The sequence below is a fragment of the Homo sapiens genome, chromosome 19, assembly GCF_000001405.40.
Source record: "Homo sapiens chromosome 19, GRCh38.p14 Primary Assembly".
Lineage (NCBI taxonomy): Eukaryota > Metazoa > Chordata > Mammalia > Primates > Hominidae > Homo > Homo sapiens.
This window is the reverse complement of record NC_000019.10, coordinates 21,438,930-21,465,819: the sequence shown is the minus strand read 5'-3', so window position 1 is coordinate 21,465,819 and position 26,890 is coordinate 21,438,930. Positions and strand designations below refer to the sequence as shown.

The 26,890-nt window shown below is 42.1% G+C and overlaps 1 long non-coding RNA gene across 9 annotated transcripts, besides 4 other annotated features; it reads left to right on the top strand.

Annotated features, from left to right (window-relative positions):
• Positions 1,701–2,599: an enhancer, noted in NCBI's record as "H3K27ac-H3K4me1 hESC enhancer chr19:21646023-21646921 (GRCh37/hg19 assembly coordinates)". NCBI's record gives its function as "activates a minimal SCP1, AML or CMV promoter by ChIP-STARR-seq in naive H9 embryonic stem cells {active_cell/tissue: H9 hESC(naive)}" and the evidence as "EXISTENCE:reporter gene assay evidence [ECO:0000049][PMID:30033119]".
• LOC105372321 (uncharacterized) lies at positions 1,916–25,121 on the top strand. Of its 9 annotated transcripts, none has more exons than NR_187819.1 (5): positions 1,916–2,076; positions 9,232–9,359; positions 11,348–11,437; positions 12,043–12,270; positions 16,443–21,173. It is a non-coding gene; the product is annotated as an uncharacterized LOC105372321 (long non-coding RNA). The 9 variants fall into 9 exon arrangements; NR_187823.1 differs by lacking the exon at positions 16,443–21,173 and adding an exon at positions 12,541–13,395; NR_187816.1 differs by lacking the exons at positions 12,043–12,270; positions 16,443–21,173 and adding an exon at positions 21,680–25,121.
• Positions 4,910–5,409: an enhancer, noted in NCBI's record as "H3K4me1 hESC enhancer chr19:21643213-21643712 (GRCh37/hg19 assembly coordinates)". NCBI's record gives its function as "activates a minimal SCP1, AML or CMV promoter by ChIP-STARR-seq in naive H9 embryonic stem cells {active_cell/tissue: H9 hESC(naive)}" and the evidence as "EXISTENCE:reporter gene assay evidence [ECO:0000049][PMID:30033119]".
• Positions 22,646–22,846: a silencer, noted in NCBI's record as "peak3411 fragment used in MPRA reporter construct". NCBI's record gives its function as "represses an SCP1 promoter by STARR-seq MPRAs in K562 erythroleukemia cells {active_cell/tissue: K562}" and the evidence as "EXISTENCE:reporter gene assay evidence [ECO:0000049][PMID:32103011]".
• Positions 26,066–26,266: a silencer, noted in NCBI's record as "peak3410 fragment used in MPRA reporter construct". NCBI's record gives its function as "represses an SCP1 promoter by STARR-seq MPRAs in K562 erythroleukemia cells {active_cell/tissue: K562}" and the evidence as "EXISTENCE:reporter gene assay evidence [ECO:0000049][PMID:32103011]".

The following is a 26,890-nucleotide window of genomic DNA, read 5'->3' as shown; positions in this document are numbered from 1 at the left end:
ATGCCTGTAATCCCAGCACTTTGGGAGGCCGTGGCAGGTGGATCACAAGGTCAGGAGTTCAAGACCAGCCTGGCCAAGATGGTGAAACCCTTTCTCTACTAAAAATACAAAAATTGCCAGGCGCAGTGGCAGGTGCCTGTAATCCCAGCTACTCGGGAGGCTGAGGCAGGAGAATCACTTGAACCCGGGAAGCGGAGGTTGCAGTGAGCTGAGATCGCACCATTGCACTCCAGCCTGGGCAACAGAGCGAGAGTCCATCTAAAAAAAATAAATTAATTAAAAATTTAAAAAAGTTTTTATATCTTTGATATTTCGCTCATTATTTCTAAATCTCATTTAGTTGTCTATTTGTGTTTTATTTTTGTTCATTGAGCATTCTAAGATGATGATGATTATTATTTATTTATTTATTTTGAGATGGAAGTCTCGCTCTGTCGCCCAGGCTGGAGTGCGGTGGTGCGATCTGGGCTCACTGCAAGCTCCACCTCCCAGGTTCACGCCATTCTCCTGCCTCACCCTCCAAGTAGCTGGGACTACAGGCGCCTGCCACCACACCCGGCTAATTTTTTGTATTTTTTTTCAGTAGAGACGAGGTTTCACCATATTAGTCAGGATGGTCTCGATCTCCTGACCTCGTGATCTGCCCACCTTGGCCTCCCAAAGTGCTGGAATTACAGGCGTGAGCCACCACGCCCGGCCTATTATTTTGTATTTTTAGTAGAGACCAGGTTTCACCACATTGGCCAGGCTGGTCTCGAACTCCTGACCTTGTGATCCACCTGCCTCAGCCTCCCAAAGTGCTGGGATTACAGGCATGAGCCACCGTGCCCGGCCAAATATTTTGAATTCTTTATCAGATATGCAAAAACTTCATTTCTTAAGATTCAATTTCTGGATATTATTTTGCTCCTTCAAGTGGGACATATTTCCTGTCTTTTCTCTATGCCCTGTGATTTTTTTTTTTAAGTGATATCTGAGGATTTATACAACAGCCATCTAATCCAGCATTTAAAGACCGGCTTAGTAAAGGGGAGATACTGACAGTAATCAGCCAGGCTATGAATGCTGGGTGTTTCACATTCTCAGATACGTTTTCTCTGAAGTTGTGTGTGTGTTTAAGTTAAAGAGTTTTTTTTCTTTTTCTTTTTTTTTTTTTTTTTGAGAGAAGTCTCACTCTTGTCCCCCAGGCTTGAGTGCAATGGCTCGATCTCGGCTCACTGCAACCTCCGCCTCCCGGGTTCAAACGATTCTCCTGCTTCTGCCTCCCAAGTAGCTGGGATTAAGGCGCCTGCCACCACGCCTGGCTAATTTTTGTATTTTTAGTAGAGACGGGGTTTCACCATGTTGGCCAGGCTGGTGTCGAACTCCCGACCTCAGGTGATCTGCCCGCCTCGGTCTCCCAAAGTGCCGGAATTACAGGCGTGAGCCACCATGCCCCGCCTTTTTCTTATTTCTTTTTGAGATTCTATAAACTTTTTTTCTTCTTGGTGCCACCACTCCCGGCCCTGTTTTTCTTTTAAAATCCCAGGTTGCCTACTCAAAAGACTAAAGGCCAGAAAGCTTATGAAATGTTAAATTTTAAAATAATTGTTATTATAGTGTTTCCATTTGTGAACAACATATATGTGTGTATGAATAAAATTTATAAATGGACATAACCTTATACACAAGATTTAAAATAACCCCTGGGCACATGTGGGCCCAACCCAGAGATAGCCCTTCCTGAAATGACTGGAGCCAAGAGCCTGTCACGCTCGCGGTATTCAGTGCAAGGTCTGATCGCGTCTTCTGTCACTCAAGGCCTGAGGGCGCGGAGCCTGGAGCTCTATCCATTAAGGGCGCTGGGGTGGGAACTGTCCAATCAGGTTCACAGTCAGAGAGGAAGGGGTGGCTCCCGGTACCTGGCGGGGCCTTTGTCTCTTGCTCCAGCCAGAGCTCGAGGTTAGCTCTTCACTGCCCTGTGTCTTCTTTCCAAGGGTCTCGGTGATTCGGCCACAGCCTCAGCCTCCATCACGCGGTGAACTGATGGTGCTGGAAGATTCATAGACTCCAGGACATTCCTGAAGCCGAGAAAAGGTGAGTGTGCGGGGCAGGGCGTTTGGAGACGGGGGAGGCCTCTTTGGGACGCGCCAGAAATGGCGGTGGCGGGACGGTCTTGTGAGCCTGAGTGCCCCGCAGCTCAGCCCTCACTCTCCTCCGGTGCAGGGACCCCGGGGCGTCCTTTACCGTTTCAGCACAGCGGCTTTAGCCCCAGCCTGTAGCCCTCTTTGCGCAGCTCTGCGCCCGCAGCCCGTCATCTTCCCCAGGTTGTGAGGTCATCAGGGAAAGACTCCGACTGGTTGTGCGGGTCTCCTGCGTGGAAGGAGCTGCGGTCTGTGGGGTCCCCAGTTCCTACTTTACCCTGTTCAAAAATAAACTGAAGCACCATTAGAGAGTTAATATGGCCGGGCGCGGTGGTTCACGCCTGTAATCCCAACACTTTGGGAGGCCGAGGTGGGCGGATTACCTGAGGTCGGGAGTTCCTGACCGGCCTGACCAACATGGAGAAACCCGGTCTCTACTAAAAGTACAAAAAAAATTAGCCAGGCGTGGCATGCCTGTAATCTCAGCTCCTCGGGAGGCTGAGGCAGGAGAATCGCTTGAATACGGGAGGCGGAGGCTGCAATGAGCCAAGATCGCTCCACTGAGCTCCAGCCTGGGCGACAGAGCGAGACTCCGTCTCAAAAAAAAAAAAAAAAAAAAAAAAAAAAAAGACTTAGTATGCACAAACAGTGATTAATCAATGGGACAGTCCCCAGACATGGTTTGTGGGGGCTTTTGTTTTGTTTTGAGATGGGAGTTTCGCTGTTGTTGCGCAGGCTGGAGCGCAATGGCACGATCTAGGCTCACCGCAACCTCCGCCTCCCGAGTTCAAGCGATTCTCCTGCTTCAGCCTCCTACTTAGCTGGGATTGCAGGCATGCGCCACCACGCTCGGCTACTTTTGATTTTTAGTAGAGACGGGGGTTTCTCCATGTTGGTCAGGGTGGTCTCGAACTCCCAACCTCAGATGATCCGCCTGCCTGGGCCACCCAAAGTGTTGGGATTACAGGCGTGAGCCACTGCGCCCGACGTTTGTGGTTTTGGGGCTACCAGAGGGTCTTGAAGAAAAGGCTTCTATAAGGTGTGTGATGAAGCAAAGCAAATTAATCGATTGGGTACAGTTAGGTAGTCCATTTGCAGTGTCCAGGAGAAAATTCTTTCGTTATGTAATCAGATTAATTGGAGATTTGTGGTTGATTAAACCTGAATTTTGTTTTCTCTTAAGGTAGTAACTTACAAAAAATACATTTGAGCTAGATTTTATTGTTGTTGTTGTTGTTACATAGGAACCTAGACCACTAACGCCACTTCAGTCCAAATATTGCTATTTAATTATTTTGACTTTAATCAGACGCACTGGTGTCACCCTGTATTTTCCACATGTGTGGCAAGCAGGGTCTCAAATCCACTACTCTGTCCTGTTCAGCCTTGCCAGTAAAATCCTTGCCAGGCTTGCAGTAAAATCTTAAATTCCCAGTTTCTTTCCAACATTCCCCAAAGCCAACTTCTCCCCTTCAATTCACAACATTATCAACTATTTTTGTCCTTTATTGTACATTTCAGAAACAGTATTTTAATTAATCACTTTGTCACAGAGCACTGGATGACACTTTTAAAAATACTTGTTTTCTATTTGTAAATATTTTACATGAGAGAAAGGTAAAAAATAATCCCCTTACATTCCACTGTCAAAAATTTTCCCGCTTTTTCTCCTTTTATCTTCCACAGGCACAAATGCCTTGCCCAGACATCTTTGAATTGAGGTTTTCCTTTGGAAACTTTATTGGGCCATGTGTCCTCAACCACACTCTAGTCTTTTTCTAGTTTTAGAATTGTCTTTAGTCTTTCTTTTTTTTTTGAGATGCAGTCTCACTCAGTCACCCAGGCTGGAGTGCAGTGACACAATCTTGGCTCACCGCAACCTCTACTTCCCGGATTCAAACAATTCTCTGCCTCAGCCTCCCAAGTAGCTGGGATTACAGGCGCCTGCCACCAAACCCAGCTAATTTTTGTATTTTTAGTAGAGATGAGGTTTCACCATCTTGGCCAGGCTGGTCTTGAACTCTTGACCTCATGATCCACCTGCCTCAGCCTCCCAAAGTGCTGGATTACAGGCGTGAGCCACCAGGCCCGGGCTAGTCTTTCTTAAGTGCTTTCTTTTATATTAGATACTTTCCATGTAATATTTAGATTTCTATAGTGATTGTTCATGTTTTTAAAGTTACTAACTTGTTTCTCTAGGCCTTATAATATACATCTTAACTTACCAGAATCTGCTTCATATTTATATTAATTCAGCTGGTCGCGGTGGCTCACGCCTGTAATCCCAGCACTTTGGGAGGCCGAGGCGGGCGGATCACGAGGTCAGGAGATCAAGACCATCCTGGCTAGCACAGTGAAACCCTGTCTCTACTAAAAATACAGAAAATAAGCCGGGTGTGTTGGTAGGTGCTTGTAGTCTCAGCTGCTCTGGAGGCTGAGGCAGGAGAATGGCATGAACCCGGGAGGCGGAGTTTGCAGTGAGGTGAGATTGCGCCACTGCACTGCAGCTTGTGGGACACAGTGAGACTACGTTTCAAAAAATAAAAAATAAAAACATATTTATATTAATTCCAATGAGATATAAAATATTACCTCTATATGGTTATTTCCCATGATTTAGACTGACTTTTCTATCAAAATTCATATGGTAAGCCATAACCTCCAATGTGATTCTATTTGAAAACAACAATTTTAGAAAGTGATTAAGGTTAAGTAAGTTTATATGAGTTGGATGGAAAAGCCATAGGCACTCAATGCCAGCTTGTGAAAGCAGCTGCAGGGGCTGTACTCTGCAGATTACAGGGGTGGAGCTGCCTAAGGCCTTGGGAGCTCACCCCTTGCATCATGGTGGCCTAGATATGAGACATGGAGTTGAAGGGAATTATTTTAGAGCTTTAACATTTAATGACTGCCCTTCTGGGTTTTGGAGTTGCATAAGACCTGGAGCTCATTTGCTTTGGCCAATTTCTCCCTTTTGGAACAGGAGAATTTACCCAATGCCTGCATAACCATTGTATCTTGGAAGTGACTAAGTCGTTTTTGATTTTACAGGCTCATAGGTGGAAGAGAATTGCCTTGTCTTAGATAGAATTTGGACTGGACTTTTAAGTTTATGCTGAAATGAGTTAAGAATTTGGGGGAGCAGGCCAGGCACCGTGGCTCACTCGTATAATCCCAGCACTTTGGGAGGCTGAGGCAGGCGGATCACTTGAGGTCGGGAGTTCGCGACCAGCCTGGCCAAAATGATGAAACCCTGTCTCTACTAAAAATACAAAAATTAGCCAGGCATGGTGGTGGGTGCCTGTAATCCCAGCTACTTGGGAGGCTGAGGCAGGAGAATTGCTTGAACCTGGGAAGTGGAGGTTGTGTTGAGCCGAGATCATGCCATTGCACTACAGCTTGGGTGACAAAGTGAGACTCTGTCTTTAAAAAAAAAAAAAAAAAAAAGATTTTGAGGGACTGTTGAAAATGGATGATTGTGTTTTGAAATGTGACTAGGAGGCTGGGCATGGTGGCTCACACCTGTAATCCCAGGATTTTGGGAGGGTGAGGTGGGTGGATCACCTGAGGTCAGGCATTCAAGACCAGCCTGACCAACATGGCCAAACCCCATCTCTACTAAATACAAAAAATTAGCCAAGCATGGTGGCACATGCCTGTAATCCCAGCTACTTGAAAGGCTGAGGTGGGAGAATTGCTGGAACTCGGGAGGTGGAAGTTGCAGTGAGCAGAGATTGTACCACTGCACTCCAGCCTGGGCAACAGAGTCAGACTCCATCTTAAAAAAAAAAAAAGAAATGTGACTAGGACATGAGGTTTGTTGTGAGGGCCAGGAGCAGAATGATGTGGTTTGACTCTGAATCCCCACCCAAATCTCATGTCAAATTGTAATTGTATTAATACAGGTAGGGGTCTAGTTGTATTACCCATATGATTAGCCTTAAACTTTTTTTTTTTTTTTTTTTTTTTTTTGAGACGGAGTCTCGCTCTGTCCCCCAGGCTGGAGTGCAGTGGCACGATCTCGGCTCACTGCAAGCTCCGCCTCCCCGGCTCACGCCATTCTCCTGCCTCAGCCTCCGGAGTAGCTGGGACTACAGTTGCCCGCCACCATACCTGGCTAATTTTTTTGTATTTTTAGTAGAGACGGGGTTTCACTGTGTTAGCCAGGATGGTCTCGAGCTCCTGACCTCATGATCCGCCCGCCTCGGCCTCCCAAAGTGCTGGGATTACAGGCATGAGCCACCGCTCCTAGCCTTAAACTTTATTTTTAAAACAACAAAAAAAGCCAATTTTGAATGATTTAGTTATTTTGCTTTTTTTTTAGTTTTGAGAACCTCTAGCATATTTATAATATTTTAAGATTAAATTTATGATATACTATATGAAATAATGAAAATATTTTGTAATAATATCACTAGTATCATTTTGTCTTATTTTGTTATAAAAATACCTAATAGATTATTTTTTCTGGTCATCACAAAACTATTTGAAAATGTCATATTTGCCATTTATCAAATCTTCATAGAGTTAATAAAACTTTATCTGAATGGGCCGGGCAATGTGGCTCACGCCTGTAATCCCAGCAGTTTGGGAGGCTGAGGCAGGTGGATTACCTGTGGTTGGGAGTTTGAGACCAGCATGGCCAATATGGTGAAACCCCATCTCTAATAAAGATACAAAAATTAGCTGAGCGTGATGGCATGTGCCTGTAGTCCCAGCTACTCGGGAGGCTGAGAGAAGGGAATTACCTGAGCTGGGGAGGTGGAGGTTGCAGTGAGCCAAGATGGCACCACTGCACTCCAGCCTGGGTGACAGAGTGAAACTCCATCTCAAAATAAATAAATAAATAAATAAACTTTATCTGAATGGGGACTTGTAATATTTATTATACTTGTTCATATTGTTTTAAAATAAATTAATTCAGTTTTATTATTTCATTTTGTAAAAGTTCTAAACTGGCCAGGCATGGTGGCTCACACGTGTAATCCCAGCACTTTGGGAGGCCGAGACCAGTGGCTCACTTAAGGTCAGGAGTTCCAGACTAGCCTGGCCAACATCTACTAAAAATACAGATCAGCTGGGTGTGGTGGCAGGTGCCGGTAATCCCAGCTACTTGGGAGGCTGAGGCAGGAGAATCACTTGAACCTGGGAGGTGGAGGTTGCAGTGAGCTGAGATCACGCCACTGTACTCCAGCCTGGGCAACAGAGTGAGGCTCCATCTCAAAACAAAACAAAACACCAATACATGCAGTGTATTAGTAAAGTGATTAGTGATTTCTATATAATTACTAAGTCGTTATTTATAAAATAATATTCTGTGTTCAACTAAAGCAGAAATTGAAAGGAGAAAAACCTAAGTTCCTCCCTGTACTGGGTTGACTCACTCCAAGGGCCTGCGAGGACTAAGATAATGTTATCTGCAAAGCCAGGCAGAGCCCAGAAGGAATGGACTCCAGGAACAGGGATGAGAATAACAAGTTCTTATCAGCTTCCCTCTCTTGAGATTCCTTCCCAGACCAGCATTTCTTTGCTCTGCTCTCATAACTATTTTTTAACTATTTCTGTAAGTTTGTAAAGATTTTGTAAGTTCCTATTTTCCATCAGTGCAACACTGCGAAGGTCACAAGACATACCTGAGCAAACCTAAGATAGTTACCATCTGCTGAGAGTCTGATGATCAGCCCAGCAGAGGTCACTAGATATGTTTGAGTCACATACCTTTCACTGTTTGATTAACTGCCTTCGTTCTGCTTCTGTAGGATGCTAAGCCCGCCCCTGAGTTTCATGCCACTGCATGCTTAAAAGCCAAGCCTCATCTTTGTTTGGGGCTCAGCCTTTTGGATTTGAATCCACTGAGCCAGTGGCCACCTTAATGAAATTCTCCTGTCTCACCCATTGGTCTCTCCAGTCTCCTGAATCCCACAACACAACTATTGCTTTTCTTTTTCTTTTTTTGAGACAGTCTCACTATGTCACCCAGGTTGGAGTGCAGTGGCACGATCTTGGCTCGCTGCAACCTCTGCCTCCCAGGTTCAAACAATTCTCCTGCCTTGGCCTCCTAAGTAGCTGGGACTACAGGCACATACTACCATGCTCGACTAATTTTTTTGTGTTTGTTTTGGTTTTTTTTGAGATGGAGTCTCACTCTGTCACCCAGGCTGGAGTGCAGTGGCATGATCTTGGCTCCCTGCAACCTCTGCCTCCCAGATTCAAACAATTCTCCTGCCTTGGCCTCCCAAGTAGCTGGGACTACAGGCACACACTACCATGCCCAACTAATTTTTTTTTTTTTTTTTTTTTTTGAGATGGAGTCTCGCTCTGTCACCCAGGCTGGAGTGCAGTGGCGCAATCTCAGCTCACTGCAACCTTCCCCTCCTGGGTTCAAGCAATTCTGTGCTTCAGCCTCCCAAGTAGCTGGCATTACAGGCACCTGCCACCATGCCCAGCTAATTTTTTGTATTTTTAATAGAGACAGGGTTTTACCATCTTGGCCAGGCTGGCCTTGAACTCCTGACCTCATGATCTACCTGCATCAGCCTTTCAAAGTGTTGGGATTACAGGCATGAGCCACTGTGCCCGGCCTTTTTTTATTTTTAGTAGAGACAGGGTTTTACCATCTTTGCCAGTCTGGTTTTAAACTCCTGACCTTAGGTGATCTGCCCACCTAAGGGGTTTATGTGTCCTGAGCAAGGCGGTGAGAAAAGTAGCTCAGAGCAGTCTCCGCTCTTTGAGTTCTGCACAATTTATCAAGCCCAGAAAGATGAGAGTATGAGACTTCAATCTTACCCCACATCTGTGCACAGGGGCAATTGTTTAAAGACATTTTGTTTCTGACTAGCTGTCTCAACCATTATTTCGTTTTTCATAAAATATGTAAAACAAATATATATAGCCAATCAATACCCAATCAATTTACCAATAATTTTAATGTCAATTCTTGGTAAACAACTTAGAAACTGCCTTCGCACTGTTTCCAAAAAACCGGCTTGTAATGGCTACTAATTGGAATATATATTCAGGGCTACTTAAATCTGTTATTTGGTGGCTATCCTTAATATTTGAACTTAAATAAATTATTTTCAAATTCTGACCTTTTTAATTATTTTAGGTTAAGTAGGGTCTGGCCTGGAATACTCTCCTAGATGAAGATAGCCCAACCATGAGCCACCTTCGAAGCAGATGAGATGAAATTAAAGCTCTTCAACTCCTAAAGGCCCAGAGACTATCACAAAAGAGGTGGGCATGTGAGATTGTAAGAACTGATTTTGAGAGATAAAATAAGTTCAGTTTTTCTATACATTAATCATTAATGTCAAAGGCACACTAATGCAAGACCAGAATAGGGGCCCCAGTGTTAGATTAACAAGGTTTTCTTGAAGCATTAACTGACTCCTTAATAAAGGCTTATAGAAGTTATATCTCATGGTCAAGATTAGAATTTTATAGATTGTTCATAACATTTTGAAAAACAAATTTAATTGGCTTTATGCTGTTTTATTGAAGATTATTGTTTGGAAAATTAAGTCTTGTCTCCCAAAGAATGAAGGTTTTTTCTTTTTTTGTTTTTGAAATCTTTATTACTTTGGTCAAATTAATGACTTATTTTACAATGACCTGTGACATCAGGTGTTTTAAATCTTTGATATTTGACTGAGATTCTTTCTGTGGAACAAAGTTCCATCAAACTTTCCAAAATCAAATTATAAATTATGTATTTTTCTTACCTAATCCTTTAAAATATTATGTTCCCTAAAGTTTAAAAATGACATAATTTTGCTTATTTCTTATAAAAATTATACAGAGAACGTTGTTGAATATGAAATGGTGTTTGGTTTTTTTGGGCTGTGTTTGTATAAGTATATTATTGGTATTTGTTCTAAAATTATGGGAAACTCCTATAATTCTTATATGACTTAGTGTACATTATTAGCAGTAATTATAATTGCTATATTGCCACAGAGGTAACAAATTTCCTTGTCAATTGTATCTTTGACTTTGGTTGCCTTAAAACTTTTTGTCATTCACAGACAATTGTATTGTTTTGGTCCTCTTTAGAAGGTGGTTTTATAATCAGCTATAAAACTCTTAACAGGTGGTCTTGAATGCAAGTTTCTGATAACTTTGGAGATGGTGACATCAGAGTAGAGGAAAAAAATTCAGAACTCATGGAGAGCTGAAATGTTCATGAATATTAAGCAGAACAAGGATTAAGTGCATGCATTGAACTATTAGAAGACTGAAGTAATCTTTTTTTCTTTTTTTGAGTCGGGGTTTCACTCGGTCTTCCAGGCTGGAGTCCAGTGGTGTGATCTCAGCTGAATTACAGATGCATGCCACCACACCTGGCTAAGTTTTGTATTTTTAGTAGAGACGGGGTTTCACCATGTTGGTCAGGCTGGTCCAAACTCCTGACCTCATGATCTGCCTGCTTGGCCTCCCAAAGTGTTGGGATTATAGGCGTGAGCCACCGAGACCAGCTGATCTTTTTGACTTTTTACTTAAAATGTTGCTGATCCTTTCTTTTGTTTTCTGAGTCAAGGAAACCTACCTTTTGATCTATTTACAGCTTTTAACAAGTTAGTATACTCCTGTGAACAAAATTTAAAGCATATTTAATTCTCTCTACTTGATTTCTCTAGAATTTGGAAACTATTTGTGAGTATTCTTAACTTATGGCAATACATTTATTTGCATAAGTGCATTAAGAATGTTTTTTTTTGTTTGTTTTGTTGTGTTATTTATTTATTTTTTGAGACAGAGTCTCACTCTGTTGCCAGGCTAGAGTGTGGTGGCCCGATCTTGGCTCACTGCAACCTCTGCCTCCTGGGTTCAAGCAATCCTCCTGCCTTGGCCTCCCAGGTAGCTGGGACTACAGGCGAGCGCCACCATGCCCAGCTGATTTTTTATATTTTTAGTAGAGATAGGGTTTCACCATGCTGGCCACTATGGTCTTGATCTCTTGACCTCATGATTCACCCATCTTGACCTCCCAAAGTGCTGTGATTACAGGCATGAGCCACCACGCCCTGCCAAGAATCTGGTTTTTATAAGTAACAGGACACAATTGGAGAAACTGGTTATTTTACCAACACTTTGACTGGAATGGTGTTCCTTTTTTAAGGAATCAAACTTGATTTATGGAGCCAATTAAAAGCCCCTCGGGAAAACTGGATTCAAATCTTGTCTACATATTCCCTGTACTATGACATTTTTACTTACCACAGGTCAGAAATCCTGAAGGTCACTTTCTGACAAACTCAGGAACCCCAGGTTTATCTTGGAGCCTCAAGAGGAGATAAATTCACCCAACTCAGGTATTTGATGGTACAAATCCATGTCTGGGGTTGGCTTTTAAAAAGTATTATCTGAGATTCCTTCTGTGGAACAAAGTTCCATCGGGGAAAAATTGTGCAAATGTAATAAATTTGGAAAAACACTTTTTCAAAAACTACAGCTTAGAAAACAACAGAGAGTTCATACTGGAGTATGCTTTTGCAGATGCAGTACATGTAAAAAAATATTTAATCCATAATTAAGTCTATGCAAATATCAGAATTTATGGTAGAAATATATAAGGCACTGACACACTTCACGTATTCTAAATCAGTGCTGAGTATAGGAAATCTAAAACTAAAGTTGGCAGAAAAATTATTTGTATGTAACTTTCAGAGGATCAGAAGGTTTTTTGCAGAATTATAATTACATTCAAAGTATATTTCTTGAAAAAAATACAGATTTTTTGAAAAGTGAATAATGATGTCATTCAACTCTGAAATTATTTCCTGCTGTTTCTTCATTCCTATTGGAGTCAAATGTGAAAGCATAGGATCAATTGTTGCTGCGTCAAAGATGTGAGAGATTCTTTTTGTTTTGTTTTGTTTTCTGTTTTTTTGAGATGGAATTTCGCTCTTTTGCCCAGGCTGGAGTGCAGTGGAATGATCTTGGCTCACTTCCGTCTCCGCCTTCCAGTTTCAAGTGATTCTCCTGCCTCAGCCTACTGAGTAGTTGGGATTACAGGTGCCTGCCACCACACCCAGCTAATTTTTGTATTTTTAGTAAAGATGGGGTTTCACCATGTTGGCCAGGCTGGTCTCAAACTCCTGACGTCATGATCTGCCCGCTTCAGTCTCCCAAAGTGTGATTACAGGTGTGAGCCACCATGCCTGGCAAGGCATTCTTTTTTATTAGGGGGGTGTTGTTTATTACCTCTTCTATAGAAAAGTAAAGACATTAAAATGTAAGATGCATAATAAAAATCTAAGTGGAGAGGCTCTTATAACCTATAATATTGAGTGATGCATCAGGTAGGTGTTCAGAGTAATCTGCATTATCATGAGAAGAAAACATGTTTAATTTTATTTAAAATTAAATGAGTAGTATATTATTGTACTAATTGTACTAATTTTTTCTGAGACAGAGTTTTGCTCTTGGTGCCCAGGCTGGAGTGCATTGGCACGATCTCTGGCTCACTGTGACCTCTGCCTCCCAGATTCAAGTGATTCTCCTGCCTCAGCCTCCTGAGTAGCTGGGATTACGGGCATGTGCCCCCATGCCTGGCTAATTTTGAATTTTTAGTAGAAACAGGGTTTCTCCATGTTGGTCAGGCTGGTCTTGAACTGCCAACCTCAGGTGATCTGCCCACTTTGGCCTCCCAAAGTGCTGGGATTACAGGCATGAGCCACCGAGCCTGGCCTGATTGTACTTTTATATAATAAAATGCAGTACATTTATAAATTTTAGATTATGTGTGAAGTTAATAGTTTAATTCAACATTTTTAACATGTTAAATACTATTGTGCATTCAATGAAGCGTTATTATGCCACAAACTTTAACCTCTTTCACCTTACTCAAGGGTATAGGTAAAAGATGGTAACAATATACTGTTTAGTAAGATAATAGATTAACATCTCTAGTGATTTTTTTTTTTTGCCAGTGGCTTTCAACTGCAAATAAGTTAAAGAATATTGTTTCTGTAGGTAAATTTTTATTCTGTTTTTAATCATTTAAATTTATTTTAATTTTGGTGGCTGCATGAGTATCTATGCAATATATGGCATGTTTTAATACAGGAATACAATATATAATAATAATATCAGCATTAAGTGAGGCATCCTTCACCTGTAGCATTTATCCTATGTTTTATAATCCAATTCTACACTTTTTTTTAAATTTAAAATGTACAATTAAATTGTTATTTACTACAGGGTTATTTTTATGGTCATAATAAAAATTATATATGAGTATAAATAAAATTCATTGTTAAATTCTTAATATTTTTTCAAATTTCTTATATATTTTTCTTGGAACATGTGGCCTGTCTGCCTGCAAACACATAAGACTTTTAGTTTTGATTTACATAGAGTTAAATATTTATTAATCTAAAGACAAACCTTAGGTGTAAGAAAATTATGGAGTAAGTGTGTTGGGAGTTTGAGACCAGCCAGACCAACGTGGATTAACCCCGTCTCTACTAAAAACACAAAATTAGCCGGGCGTGGTGGCATATGCCTGTAATCCCAGCTACTTGGGAGGCTAAGCCAGGAGAATCGCTTGAGCATGGGAGGCGGAGGCGGAGGTTGCAGTGAGCCGAGATCACGCCATTGCACTCCAGCCTGGGCAGCAAGAGTGAAACTCTGTCTCAAAAAAAAAAAAAAAAGAACTACAAAACATTACTGAAAGTAATCAGAGACAATGCAAATAAATAAATAAAAAAAAAGAACTACAAAACATTACTGAAAGTAATCAGAGACAATGCAAATAAATAAAAAAAATTTTATGCTTATGGATTTGAGGAATGAATATGAAATATCCATGCTTCCTAGATCAGCCTACAAATTAAGTATTATTTTTATGAAACTGTCAATTACTTTTTTTTTAAATGGGACAGAGTCTTGCACTGTCGCCTAAGCAGGAGTGCAGTGGTGCAATCTCAGCTCGCTGCAACCTCCACCTCCCAGGTTCAAGTGATTCTCGTACCTCAGCCTCCCACGTAGCTGGGATTACAGTTGCCCACCAGCACACCTGGCTAATTTTTGTATTTTTAGTAGAGAGGGGGTTTTGCTGTGTTAACCAGGTTGGTCTTGAACCCCTGGCCTCAAGTGATCCACCTGCCTCAGCCTCCCACCACCCTTTGCTGGGGTTACAGGCATGAGCTACCACACCCATCCCAACCCCATATTATTTCTGATAACAAAGCACAGCAACACGATTTGAATTTTGCTTGGATCTTAATTCATAAAAGAAAGTTGAATGCCATTAAAAGGTGTTTAATACACTTGCACCAGAAACAAGAGCAAGGCAAGCCATGGGGGCGTGCCTCACAAAGGCTGTCTCATGTAGGGGTGGGAAAGCAGAGTTACCAGGGAACTGGGACTATTTCTTTATGACTGTGATGGTTGGAAGCAAAAACGTGGGGCTTTTCCCTATTGAATAAAAAGTAAAAAAATGCATGTTGATGTCAGTGGTTGGGAATAATATAACATTTGCAGGCTCATAAGAACTGCCTGACAAAAAGCATGTAAACAACAGTGATTGCTCTATGGCCCTGTGATTCAGCAGGCTTATAGAGCAGTTAAGAATAGCAGATGTCAGCCAGGCGTGGTGGCTCATGCCTGTAATCCCAGGTGCCCACCACCATGCCCAGCTAATTTTTGTATTTTTAGTAGAGATGGGGTTTCACCATGTTAGCCAGGCTGGTCTCAAACCCCTGACCTTGTGATCCACCTGCCTTGGCCTCCCAAAGCGTTGGGATTACAGGCATAAACCAGCATGCCCGGCTCAAGCTGTTCTCTTATAATAGATGTATTTTTTATTTTTGTAAAATTAAAAACATAAATTTTAGATTTCTTATTTACCTTTTTTTTTTGAGATGGAGTCTTGCTCTGTCACCCAGGCTGAAGTGCAGTGGCATGATCTCGGCTCACTGCAAACTCCGCCTCCCGGGTTCAAGCAGTTCTCTGCCTCAGCCTCCTGAGTAGCTAGGGTTACAGTCGCCCACCACCATGCCTAGCTAATTTTTGTATTTTTAGTAGGGACAGCGTTTAACCATGTTGGCCAGGCTGGTCTTGAACTCCTGACCTCGTGATTTTCCCAACTTGGCCTTCCAAAGTCGTGGGATTACATGTGTGAGCCACCACACCTGGGCTCTCTTTTATTTCTTCTTCAGTCACTTTTTGCCACATACCTTTCTGGAAAAATAATAATTGTATCTAATTTTTTAAATATAATGACATAAAATTGTTTAAAACAATATTATGTTTAAATCTTTTTTTTTTTTTTTTTTGAGACGGAGTGTCACTCTGTTGCCAGGCTGGAGTGCAATGGCATGGTCTTGGCTCACTACAACATCCACCTCCTGGGTTCAAGCGATACTCCTGCCTCAGCCCCCCAAGTAGCTGGGATTACAGGTGCCCCCCACCACAACCAGCTAATTTTTGTATTTTTAGTAGAGACGGGGTTTTACCCCGTCAGGCTGGTCTTGAACACCTGACCTCAGGTGATCCTCCCACCTTGGCCTCTCAAAATTCTGGGATTACAGGCATGAGCCACCCTGCCTGGCTTCTATTTTCTAAGGCTACCAAATTGTTGGCATATCATGTGTGCTCAACACACATTTAGGTTAAAAGAATGAATACATATTCTTTGTAAACTGAAACTGCAAATCAAGATTATATTTTTACTTCCTATATTTTAGTTAACAGAATCAAATAGAAAATAAAGTGTAGAATTCAGAAAGCACTATTGAAAGTTTAATGTTAAACCAGGACTTGTGGGCAAAAATATATTAAAATTTTTTAGTTTCTAAATTTGTGACCATTATAATTACTTTTAAATTCCCACATGAGGATGGAACATGACTTCAGGAGAGCACAATTTAAGAGGAAAAGGCAGAAATAAAAAGAAAAAGAATAAAAATTTGATCAGGTTAGATATGCAAGTTCTTCTGCATATTATTTTTTATACTATTTTTTGTTTTTTAGAAAATAATTTTTTTTCAGCCAGGCGGGGTGGCTCATGCCTGTAACCCCAGCAATTTGGGAGGCTGAGTCGGGGTGATCACAAGGTCAGGAGTTCGAGACCAGCCTGGCCAATATGGTGAAACCTCATCTCTACTAAAAGTACAAAAATTAGCCAGGCGTGGTGGTGGACGGCTGTAGTCCCAGTTGCTTGGGAGGCAAGGCAGGAGAATCACTTGAACCCGGGAAGCAGAGGTTGCAGTGAGCCTAGATTGTGCCACTGCACTCCAGCCTGGGTGACAGAGCGGGACTCCATCTCACTTTAAAAAATAATAACAATAATTTTTTCCTCTGCTGGTTTAGAGTGAGGCTGGCTGGGGGAGCCTGGGCTCCTCTGTCCTCCCCGAGGTGGCAGTGGCTGATGTCTGCTCAGGTGTGAGGGGGTGCTGCCATCCTCTGGGCCTGAGGCTGCCTGGCCCAGCCCCTCCTAACTCCCTGGACTCTTCCACGGTGTCTTCAGGCCCCTACACCATCCTTTGTGTAAGGGGAGGTGGCAGCATAGAGATGATGGGGGAACTGCCCCATGTGCCAAGGAAAGCTCACCCATCTGTGCGAAATGCTCTGGTTGACATTGGGTTTTTGCGCACCAAACTGGGCCATGACCAAGGTTTATAACCAAGGTGTCTCCGGGCATGGGCACTTTGGCTCTTGTAGAAACCACCCCACTGGCAGGAGACGGCGGTAGCTGTGGTCATTGAAAACAAGCTCCTGCTGATAAATCTCAGACACCAGACACAGAAGAACCTGGAGACCCTGCCAGAGAGCTTGAGGCAAATGGATGGACTGTTGGAGCAGCTGAGGGTGAAGCAGCACAAACTCCTCAAAGTTGAATAGCAAAGCAGCCACCAGAGATGGACAAGAAAAATGAACAAAGAAAATTAGCAGAAATCAAAGGCAGATGCTAAAGCAGTGCAAAATCATTCATTCAATGATAGAAATGAAATTGATGAAGGAGTCTGGAAAATGAATGACAGAAGAGAATTAAACAGCAGTGACCATAGTAAGGTCCTGACGATTCTGGTCCACTGAATCCCATCATCCCTAAGACAGTAAATATCATCACAGTCACCACCAGCAAGTTACCACCACAGCATTTCCTGTTTGTTCCAAAATGAATAAAGATGATTCTCATCACAAGGGCAAATACAAAGTAGTTTAGTATGTTTTTAACTAAACTAAAGGTGTTTGGTTTACTTTTTCTAAGTTCTCATAATTCTGAAAATGCAGTTGACACTTGTGTGGCTCATGATGTTTTTAATAGTCTAATGCTACTTGAATTGTTCAAAAACCACTGTATTTTAAATTAAGATGAATAAACGGTCCTTTGAAAACTGGCACAAGGCAAGGATGCCCTCTGTCACCACTCCTATTCAACACAGTATTGGAAGTTCTGGCCAGGGCAATCAGGCAAGGGAAAGCAATACAGCGTATCAAAATAGGAAGAGAGGAAGTCAAATTGTCTCTGTTTGCAGATGACATGATTGCATATTTAGAAAACCCCATCTTCTCAGCCCAAAACCTCCTTAAGCTGATAAGCAACTTCAGCAGTCTCAGAATACAAAATCAATGTGCAAAAAATCACAAGCATTCCTATACATTAATAACAGACAAACAGAGAGCCAAATCATGAGTGAACTCCCACTCACAATTGCTAGTAAGAGAATAAAATACCTAGGAAAATACAGCTTACAAGGGACATGAAGGACCTCTTCAAGGAGAACTACAAACCACTGCTCAAGGAAATGAGAAGAGACAAACAAATGGGAAAGCATTCCATGCTCATGGATAGGAAGAATCAATATCGTGAAAATGGCCATAGTGCCCAAAGTAATTTTATAGATTCAATGCTATCCTCATTAAGCTACCATTGATTTTCTTCACAGAATTGGAAAAAACTACTTTAAACTTCATATGGAACCAAAAAAGAGCCTGCACAACCAAGACAATACTGGGCAAGAAGAACAAAGCTGGAAACATCAGGCTACCTGGCTTCAAACTATACTACAAGGCTACAGGAACCAAAACAGCATGGTACTGGTACCAAACAGATATGTAGACCAGTGGAACAGAACAGGGCCTCAGAAATTGATATCACTCTGTCACCATCAAAAAATACTTATTTAGTGTCAAATCCTACTGTGAAATAGCAGAACTGTGGGATTTGTAAAGTGGAAATGCAGAATTCAAAACAGAGATATATACCAATGGAACAGAGCAGAGGCCTCAGAAATACCACCACACGGCTACAACAATCTGATCTTTGACAAACCTGACACACACAAGCAATGAGAAAAAGATTCCCTATTTAATAAATGGTGTTGGGAAAACTGGCTAGCCATATGTAGAAAATTGAAACTGGACCCCTTTCTTACCCGTTTTACAAAAATCAACTCAAGATGTATCAAAGACTTAAATGTAAGACCTAAGACCATAAAAATCCTAGAAGAAAACCTGGGCAGTACCATTCAGGACATAGGCATGGGCAAAGCCTTCATGTCCAAAACACCAAAAGCAGTGGCAACAAAAGCCAAAATTGACAAATGGGATCTAATTAAATTAAATAGCTTCTGCACAGCAAAAGAAACTCATCAGAGTGAACAGGCAACTACAGAATGGGAGAAAATTCTTGCAATCTATCCATCTGACAAAAGGCTAATATCTAGAATCTACAAAGAATTTAAACAGTTTACAAGAAACAAACAAACTGCCCCATCAAAAAATGGGCAAAGATATGGACAGACACTTCTCAAAAGAAAACATTTATGCAGCCAACAGACACATGAAAAAATGCTCATCACTGGTCATTAGAGAAATGCAAATCAAAACCACAATGAGATACCATGTCACACCCGTTAGAATGGCAATCATTAAAAAGTCAGGAAACAACAGTGCTGGAGTGGATATGGAGAAATAGGAACACTTTTACACTGTTGGGAGTGTAAATTAGTTCAACCATTGTGGAAAACAGTGTGGCAATTCCTCAAGGATCTAGAACTAGAAATAACATTTGACCAATTCCATTACTGAGTATATACCTAAAGGATTATAAATCATTCTATGATAAAGACACATGCACACGTCTGTTTATTGTGGCACTATTCACAATAGCAAAGACTTGAAACCAACCCAAATGTCCATCAATGATAGACTGGGTAAAGAAAATGTGGCACATATACACTGTGGAATACTGTGCAGGTGTAAAAAAGGATGAGTTCATGTCCTTTGCAGGGACATGGATGAAGCTGGAAACCATCATTCTCAGCAAACTAGCACAAGATCAGAAAACCAAACGCTGCATGTTCTCACTCATAAGTGGGAGTTGAACAGTGAGAACACATGGACACAGGGAGGTGAACATCACACACTGGGGCCTGTCAGGTGCTGGGGGGCTAAGGGAGGGATAACAGGAAAAATACCTAATGTAGGTGACGGGTTGATGGTTGCAGCAAACCACCATGGCACATGTGTACACGTATGTAATAAAACTGATGTTCTTCACATGTAACCCAGAACTTAAAGTATAATAATAAAAAGAAGAATAAATATTTGTTTTATATATTTAAAGCTTAGAATCACAAATAATGCTTCTGTTTATGATTTGAAAACTTCAAAGTTTGGTTTTCCTTCTGTACATACACAAAACATTGTATTGTGCTGAAATATTTGTTTTTTAAAGTGGCAGTCATAGTTCCTGTCTGTCCGGATATATATATGTATATATGTTAAGCATAACATAAGAAAGAAATTTCATTAGCTGGGCATGATGGCTCACTCCTGTAATCCCAGAACCTTGGGAGGCTGAGGTGGGTGGATTGCCTGAGGTCAGGAGTTTGAGACCAGCCTGGCCAACATAGTGAAACCTCGTCTCTACTAAAAATACAAAAAATTAGGTGGGCGTGGTGGCAGGCACCTGTAATCCCAGCTACTAGGGAGGCTGAGGCAAGAGAACGGCTTGAACCTGGGAGTCAGAGGTTGACGTGAGCCGAGATCACACCATTGCACTCCAGCCTGGTGACAGAGTGAGACTCTGTCTGAAAAAAAAAAAAAAAGAAAAATTTTATTTTGTTTTCGGTAATCTAAGATTGTTGTACACAAAAACTTTACAGATTATGGTAGGGTTTAGCAAACTGTGTATATAACGTAACATTAATATCGCTATTTTCTGATGTCTAACTTTTAGGAAAGATTTTTTGTTTACAAATGTCTCCACAAATTCTGGCTTATTTTATAAAAATAGCAGAATACTAAAGAAATGGGTGGTTTGCCACACTACATGAATTCACACACTACTGGCATTCAATTAAAATAGCAAATATTTTCCTCAAAATTTAGACAGATGAAATAATTTCTTGATTTTTGAGTGCAGTGACAGACATTCACAAATATTTCAGAAATCAAAGCTGTATTAGGTTTTACTTAGTAGTAATATGTATATAAGATCAAGGATCTGTTCAGAATAGATATTTTTCATCAATAATTTGGTGCTTTCAAATACCCAGAAGTCTTGTTTTAATCAGATGAAGTCTGAGGATAGTTTAGTAATTTTACTTTTTGTATGATGTGTTCACAATTTTCTAATTTAACCTAGTATTGATTGATGATGGGTAAACCAACTTTTTTTTTTAATCTCGTAGGTTTATTATGTTGTTGAAGATGTTTTTAGTTAGAATTCTGTCTTTCAAAATTGTTTACAGAGATTTAGGTCTAGTTGAATTTGCTCAACCTGTTAATCAGTGTCAGCTGCCAGATTCTAATTCATTTTTAGTGTGCCTGTACTTTTCTTTCTCTAAACTAAATTTATATTCTCTATATTACTTGTTCAAATGTGATATAATACAGCTCACACATTTAAAACAAAACCATGAGGACAAATTAATTCTGGCTTAGTATAAAGAAGCTGTTACCAAATTAGTGTTACATATGCAGATGGATGCAGCTCAACAAAATTTTACACAAAAAAAATTGAATTGAACTACACGTGTTGCCATGACTTAGCCTCTAATGATCTCGTGAATAAAGACAAATTTCAACACATTTATTCATTTGCTTTCATTATGTCTAATGGTAGTGTGTCAAAAATTCTCATGCTACTGTCTGAGAAAACACGTTCTACTTTTACTTAAGAAATCAACTGAATGGCATTTTTATAACCTTGCACCACATAAGGAAAAACTGCAATGTAGTCTGCGTGGAAAAGGATAATCCAGAATGTCACTTTCAATATTTAAGTATTTAACCTTTTGGTTGAAAAATGTAGTAAAATACGGATGCCAAGCCGAGGCTGGACTGTGCTGCCGCCATCTCGGCTCACTGCAACATCCCTGCCTGATTCTCCTGCCTCAGCCTGCCGAGTGCCTGGGATTGCAGGCGCATGCCGCCACGCCTGACTGGTTTTTGTATTTTTTGGTGGAGACGGGGTTTCGCCATGTTGGCCAGGCTGGTCTCCAGCTCCTGACCGCGAGTGATCTGCCTGCCCGGGCGTCCCGAGGTGCCGGGATTGCAGACGGAGTCTCGCTCACTCAGTGCTCAATCTTGCCCAGGCTGGAGTGCAGTGGCGTGATCTCAGCTCGCTACAACCTCCACCTCCCAGCCACCTGCCTTGGCCTCCCAAAATGCCCAGATTGCAGCCTCTGCCCGGCTGCCACCCTGTCTGGGAAGTGAGGAGCGTCTTTGCCTGGCCGTCCATCATCTGGGATGTGAGGAGCCCCTCTGCCCGGCTGCCCAGTCTGGGAAGTGAGGAGCGCCTCTTCCCGGCCGCCATCCCATCTAGGAAGTGAGGAGCGTCTCTGCCCAGCCACCCATCGTCTGAGATGTGGGGAGCGCCTCTGCCCCGCTGCCCCGTCTGGGATGTGAGGAGCGCCTCTGCCCGGCCACAACCCCGTCTGGGATCTGAGGAGTGTCTGTCTCTGCCCGACCGCCACCCCGTCTGGGAGGTGAGGAGCGTCTCTGCCTGGCCGCCCCGTCTGAGAAGTGAGGAGCCCCTCCGCCCGGCAGCCGCCCCGCCTGGGAAGTGAGGAGCGTCTCCGCCCGGCAGCCGCCCCGTCCGGGAGGTGGGGGGCAGCCCCCGCCCAGCCATCCGCCCCGTCCAGGAGGGAGGTGGGGGGGTGCCTCTGCCCGGCCACCCCGTCTGGGAAGTGAGGAGCCCCTCTGCCCGGCCGCCACCCCGTCTAGGAGGTGTACCCAACAGCTCATTGAGAACGGGCCATGATGACAATGGCGGTTTTGTCGAATAGAAAAGGGGGAAATGTGGGGAAGGAAAGAGAGATCAGATTGTTGCTGTGTCTGTGTAGAAAGAAGTAGACATGGGAGACTCCATTTTGTTCGGTACTAAGAAAAATTTTTCTGCCTTGGGATGCTGTTAATCTATAACCTTACCCCCCACCCCCCACCCCGTGCTCTCTGAAACATGTGCTGTGTCCACTCAGGGTTAAATGGATTAAGGGCGGTGCAAGATGTGCTTTGTGAAACAGATGCTTGAAGGCAGCATACTTGTTAAGAGTCATCACCACTCCCTAATCTCAAGTACCCAGGGACACAAACACTGTGGAAGGCCGCAGGGTCCCCTGCCTAGGAAAACCACAGACCCTTGTTCACATGTTTATCTGCTGACCTTCCCTCCACTGCTGTCCTATGACCCTGCCAAATCCCCGTCTCTGAGAAACACCCAAGAATGATCAATAAATACTAAAAAAAAAAAAAAAAAAAAGTAGTAAAATAGAGCTCTTGGTAAGTTTTGTGTAGCTTAACATCAGCATAAAGTAGGAAAAAATATCTTTAAAAATGTAAACGGACAAAAACCTACACCAAAAAAACAAACATACACCAATGCATACATATTGACTGAAGCTCCAGGGATGTAAAATAATTTCTCCTGGGTACACAGCTAGTGACCCAAATCAAGCTCAAATATGTTTGATTTTAAAATTGTCATTTTCTCACTTTTGACAATATTGACATAACAGGTAAATCTTTGTCTCAGAGTTGATAGTTGAAAATAAACTAAGATAAGTATTATTGAAGCTGGCTAGCTAGCCAAGAAGGTCACCATGTCCTCAGGATGCAGCAGCCATGGCGATTTCCTGGTGATAGCATATTATCAACACAATAAACCCCAACATTTGCATTGCGTTTCAGCTCATTCAAGCAAAGCTCTCTAGTAGGGATATTCCCCCATAAAGAGCATGCACATTTTGATTTTACTTGTCCTCTGACCTTTTACTCATCGTAATACTAAAAAACACACACGTGAGTGGAGTTTTTGCTAATGAGATGCTAATTAGATATGTGACATATGCTAATGAGATATGTGACATATAAACAAGCATGTACAGCCACTGTGTATGTGCACCAAGAGGACCACCCAGAACATGCTTACTAATAACACCACTTTCTAACTCTTTGTAAATAATTATGTAAGACTCCGATAAATGGAGTCTCTCTATTTCCAGTCTTTGCTGTCTCATTCTTATAAGCAGCCCATCCTGAATTGCTTTTCTCTCAGGGGTGTTTTGCACCGCACTTTTAAAATAGTGTTTCTACTTTGCGATAAATCTATCTATGCTGCATCCTCATTTTTTTGCGTCTCGTTTAAATTTTTGAAACTAAGAACCGAGGTCTCACAACAGCCTTCAGGACTATTGTGCTTTGTTTTGTTTTCTTAACATTATTTTATGTGATATTTCATATTTACATTTTCAACATAGCCAAAACTGCTAAATTAAAAACTTAAATGATCATGCTTTTAAAGTGATTTGTCTTAAAAGCATGTATGTATATTTTTCAAGTTTCAGCTTTATGTATTCAAATTTTTTAAAAATTCTGACACATATATCTATCAAATTTAATATTTTAAATAATTTGAATTCACTTCCAAAATGATTTATATTCATTGTTATATTTCATTTTGACCAAATTTGGCTTTCCAAGCTAAAGAAATGCTCTGTAGTAAAATAAAGGCTCATGTTTTTATCAATAATATTTTATGTCTGAGGACTTAAGCATCAAGGACAGAAATCTGGATGATGTTGAGTGAATATTTAAATTGATAAAGTAGAAATTATCAGAATCAAATAAGGGGTGGATCCAGAAACATAGTACTTAATAAAACCATTCAGGGTATGTTTGACAAACAAGAAGATTGCATAGGATCTGCACTGCACTACTAATGTAAAGCGTTCTCTGTAACTTTATTCTCCACGTACTCATACACAAAATGAATAAGATTAACTCCTTTTCCTGGAAGGCAGTGATTCCTCTTTTATTCTGTTACATCTGTTCCACATTGCTGTGATAATGCTGTTGAAGTGCACCCCCTTACACCAGAAGATCACCTGTGTGAATGTGAATAGACTGACACTGGAGAGGACCAGCTCAGCACAGTCACTTGAACTGCCCCTTTGCATTTCAGGCAGGTAAAATGCCTTTGAAGAGTGAAAATAAAGTTACTGCTGATTAAGCAGAGAGTTTGACTTGCTGATCAATTTGATCAGAAGCCTCTCAATGAGATAATTACTGCATTTATTTATTTCAAGAAAAGTAAAAGCCAAAGCCCAGAATGTGGCAAGGCAAGAGTTGAAAAGAAAAGAACAAGTTTTTCTTTGCCTAGCAAGCTCACTTCAAGGACAGTTATAAGATAATGCTGTTTGAGAAGTTGAAACCAAAGAAATAGGCTCCAGACACTCCCCTCCGAAGCAAGGGTGAAGGAAACAAAGAAAAACAAACGTCTGTATTTAGCCAGTTCTTGTTTTTTCTTTCAATGCAGCTACAAGGCCACCAGCTATTAAAGGCCACAAGTTATGCCAAGAATTCAGTTATGCTATAAATTACATAAACTGGTCATTATATAATTAACTGCCTTTGTTTTGCTTCTGTAAGTTTACTTATTAAAATCTCACTCAGTCTTTGTTCAAGGCTCAGCTTTTTGGATGTGAATTCACTGAGCCAGAGCATACCTTAAAATAAATATCCTCCTTTATTGACTCATACTGGTCTCTCTAGTCCTCTGTGTCCCACATTTCTTGGCGAGCCAGCCAGGAGCAGAGACTGTCTCCTTTGCCTTGAAATCGGGGCTGGAGCCCCGGATTCAAGGGAAAATCGGGGCTGGAGCCTTGATTCAAGGGAAACCTGGGACCCAGGCACCGCCGGGAGAACTTCAGCCCGGAGGGGAAATCAGCTCTCCCATGACCCGGCATCCCTACCCAGCAGTGCAACGGAGCCTGAGAAGGGCTACAGGATGATTCCAGAAATAGCGCACTTTAGGAACCACGGTAAGTTATTGGGGACCAAGGCAGGACCCGTCCCGTAAGGACGGAAGGGGAGCCTGATCACCTCCCGGGGTGTAACTAGTAGTCCGACCCAGAGAGGCTTGGGGCGGCAAGAGGGGCTTGCCAATTCAGAAGAATCTCACACCTCAACCAACACAGGATGCGAGAGTGGCTTGCTTAGTTGGTTAGGTAAAGGAAACTGGAGGTGGTGAGAGTTGCTTGCCACCCCAATTAGGAACACAGGAACTGGGAACAGGGACGTATATAAAAGTGTGTGAAAGATGGTTCCAGGAGAATACAATGCAAGGAGTGACGTGGGGAGTCACAGATCTCTTAGCATTGACTGTGTGCTCCGAGCAAAGTATGGGGCTGCCCTGGACTAGTGGTGAACTGTATACGTCCAATAGGAGTTGCCCCACAGCTCAGAGTTGTGGTGGGAATAAGGACCTCTCCAAAGCCAAGCAGCATCTGAAAACTCCCGTAATTGGGGATGGTCTGGTCAGTCTGAGGCAAAAGGAAGAGTGGGTGTGCTGCGTAGTAAAGGGAGGAAATGGGAGTAAAGTCATCAAAGTCCACTCCATTGGAGCGCATGTTACAGAACTTTAAAGAAGGTTTTACAGGGAATTATGGAGTTAAGCTAACCCCCCAGAGGTTAAGAACTCTCTGTGAATTAGAACTGCCTTCTTTTAGTGTTGGATGACTGATTGAAGGAACTATAGATAGGAAAATAATTGGCCGTGTATTTAAGGTGGTGACAGGTCAGAGGACAGCCTCGGCATCCAGATCAGTTTCCTTATATTGACTCATGGTTAAATCTAGCACAAACAAGACCAGCCTGAATCCAGCCCTGTTTAGCAGCTTATTGCAAAACACTTGTGGCCTAAGCCAAGCCAAAAAATGAAAGTAAGAGCAGCTTCGCTAGCAGATACAGAGTTAAAGAAGAAGGCCCAGAGGGAGCAAGAAAAGCCAGTTTTGCAGGAGCCACCAGAGGGAATAAAGATTCCTACTCCATATGTCACAGCCTACCCCACTTTACCAAGGCCAGCAGCCCCCTGGGAACCAGATTCAGGTGCTAGCACACCCCAACTCTCACCCTGAAATGAAAGACTGGAGACTTGAGAGGTCAGGGAAAGAAGTCAAGATAGTCAAGCAGGCCATCTCAGATCTGGTTGTGCTTGAGATATGCAAATGCCTCTCAGGGAGACACGAGGACCCATTTATTAAGATAACCAAGGCCAAGTCCAAGGGTGGGAATGGACTTTCATCTGTCAGCCCTTTTCAACCACTGATCTCTTAAACTGGAAACACCATACTCCCTCCTATATGGAGAAGCCCCAAGCTCTTATAGATCTGATGCAGTCCATCTTTCTGACACAGAATCCAACCTGACCAGACTGCAGGCAGCTGCTTCTCATGCTGTATAACACTAAGGAGCACAGGATAGTAACCTAGACAGCTCTCTGCTGGCTAGAAGCCCATGCACGAGCA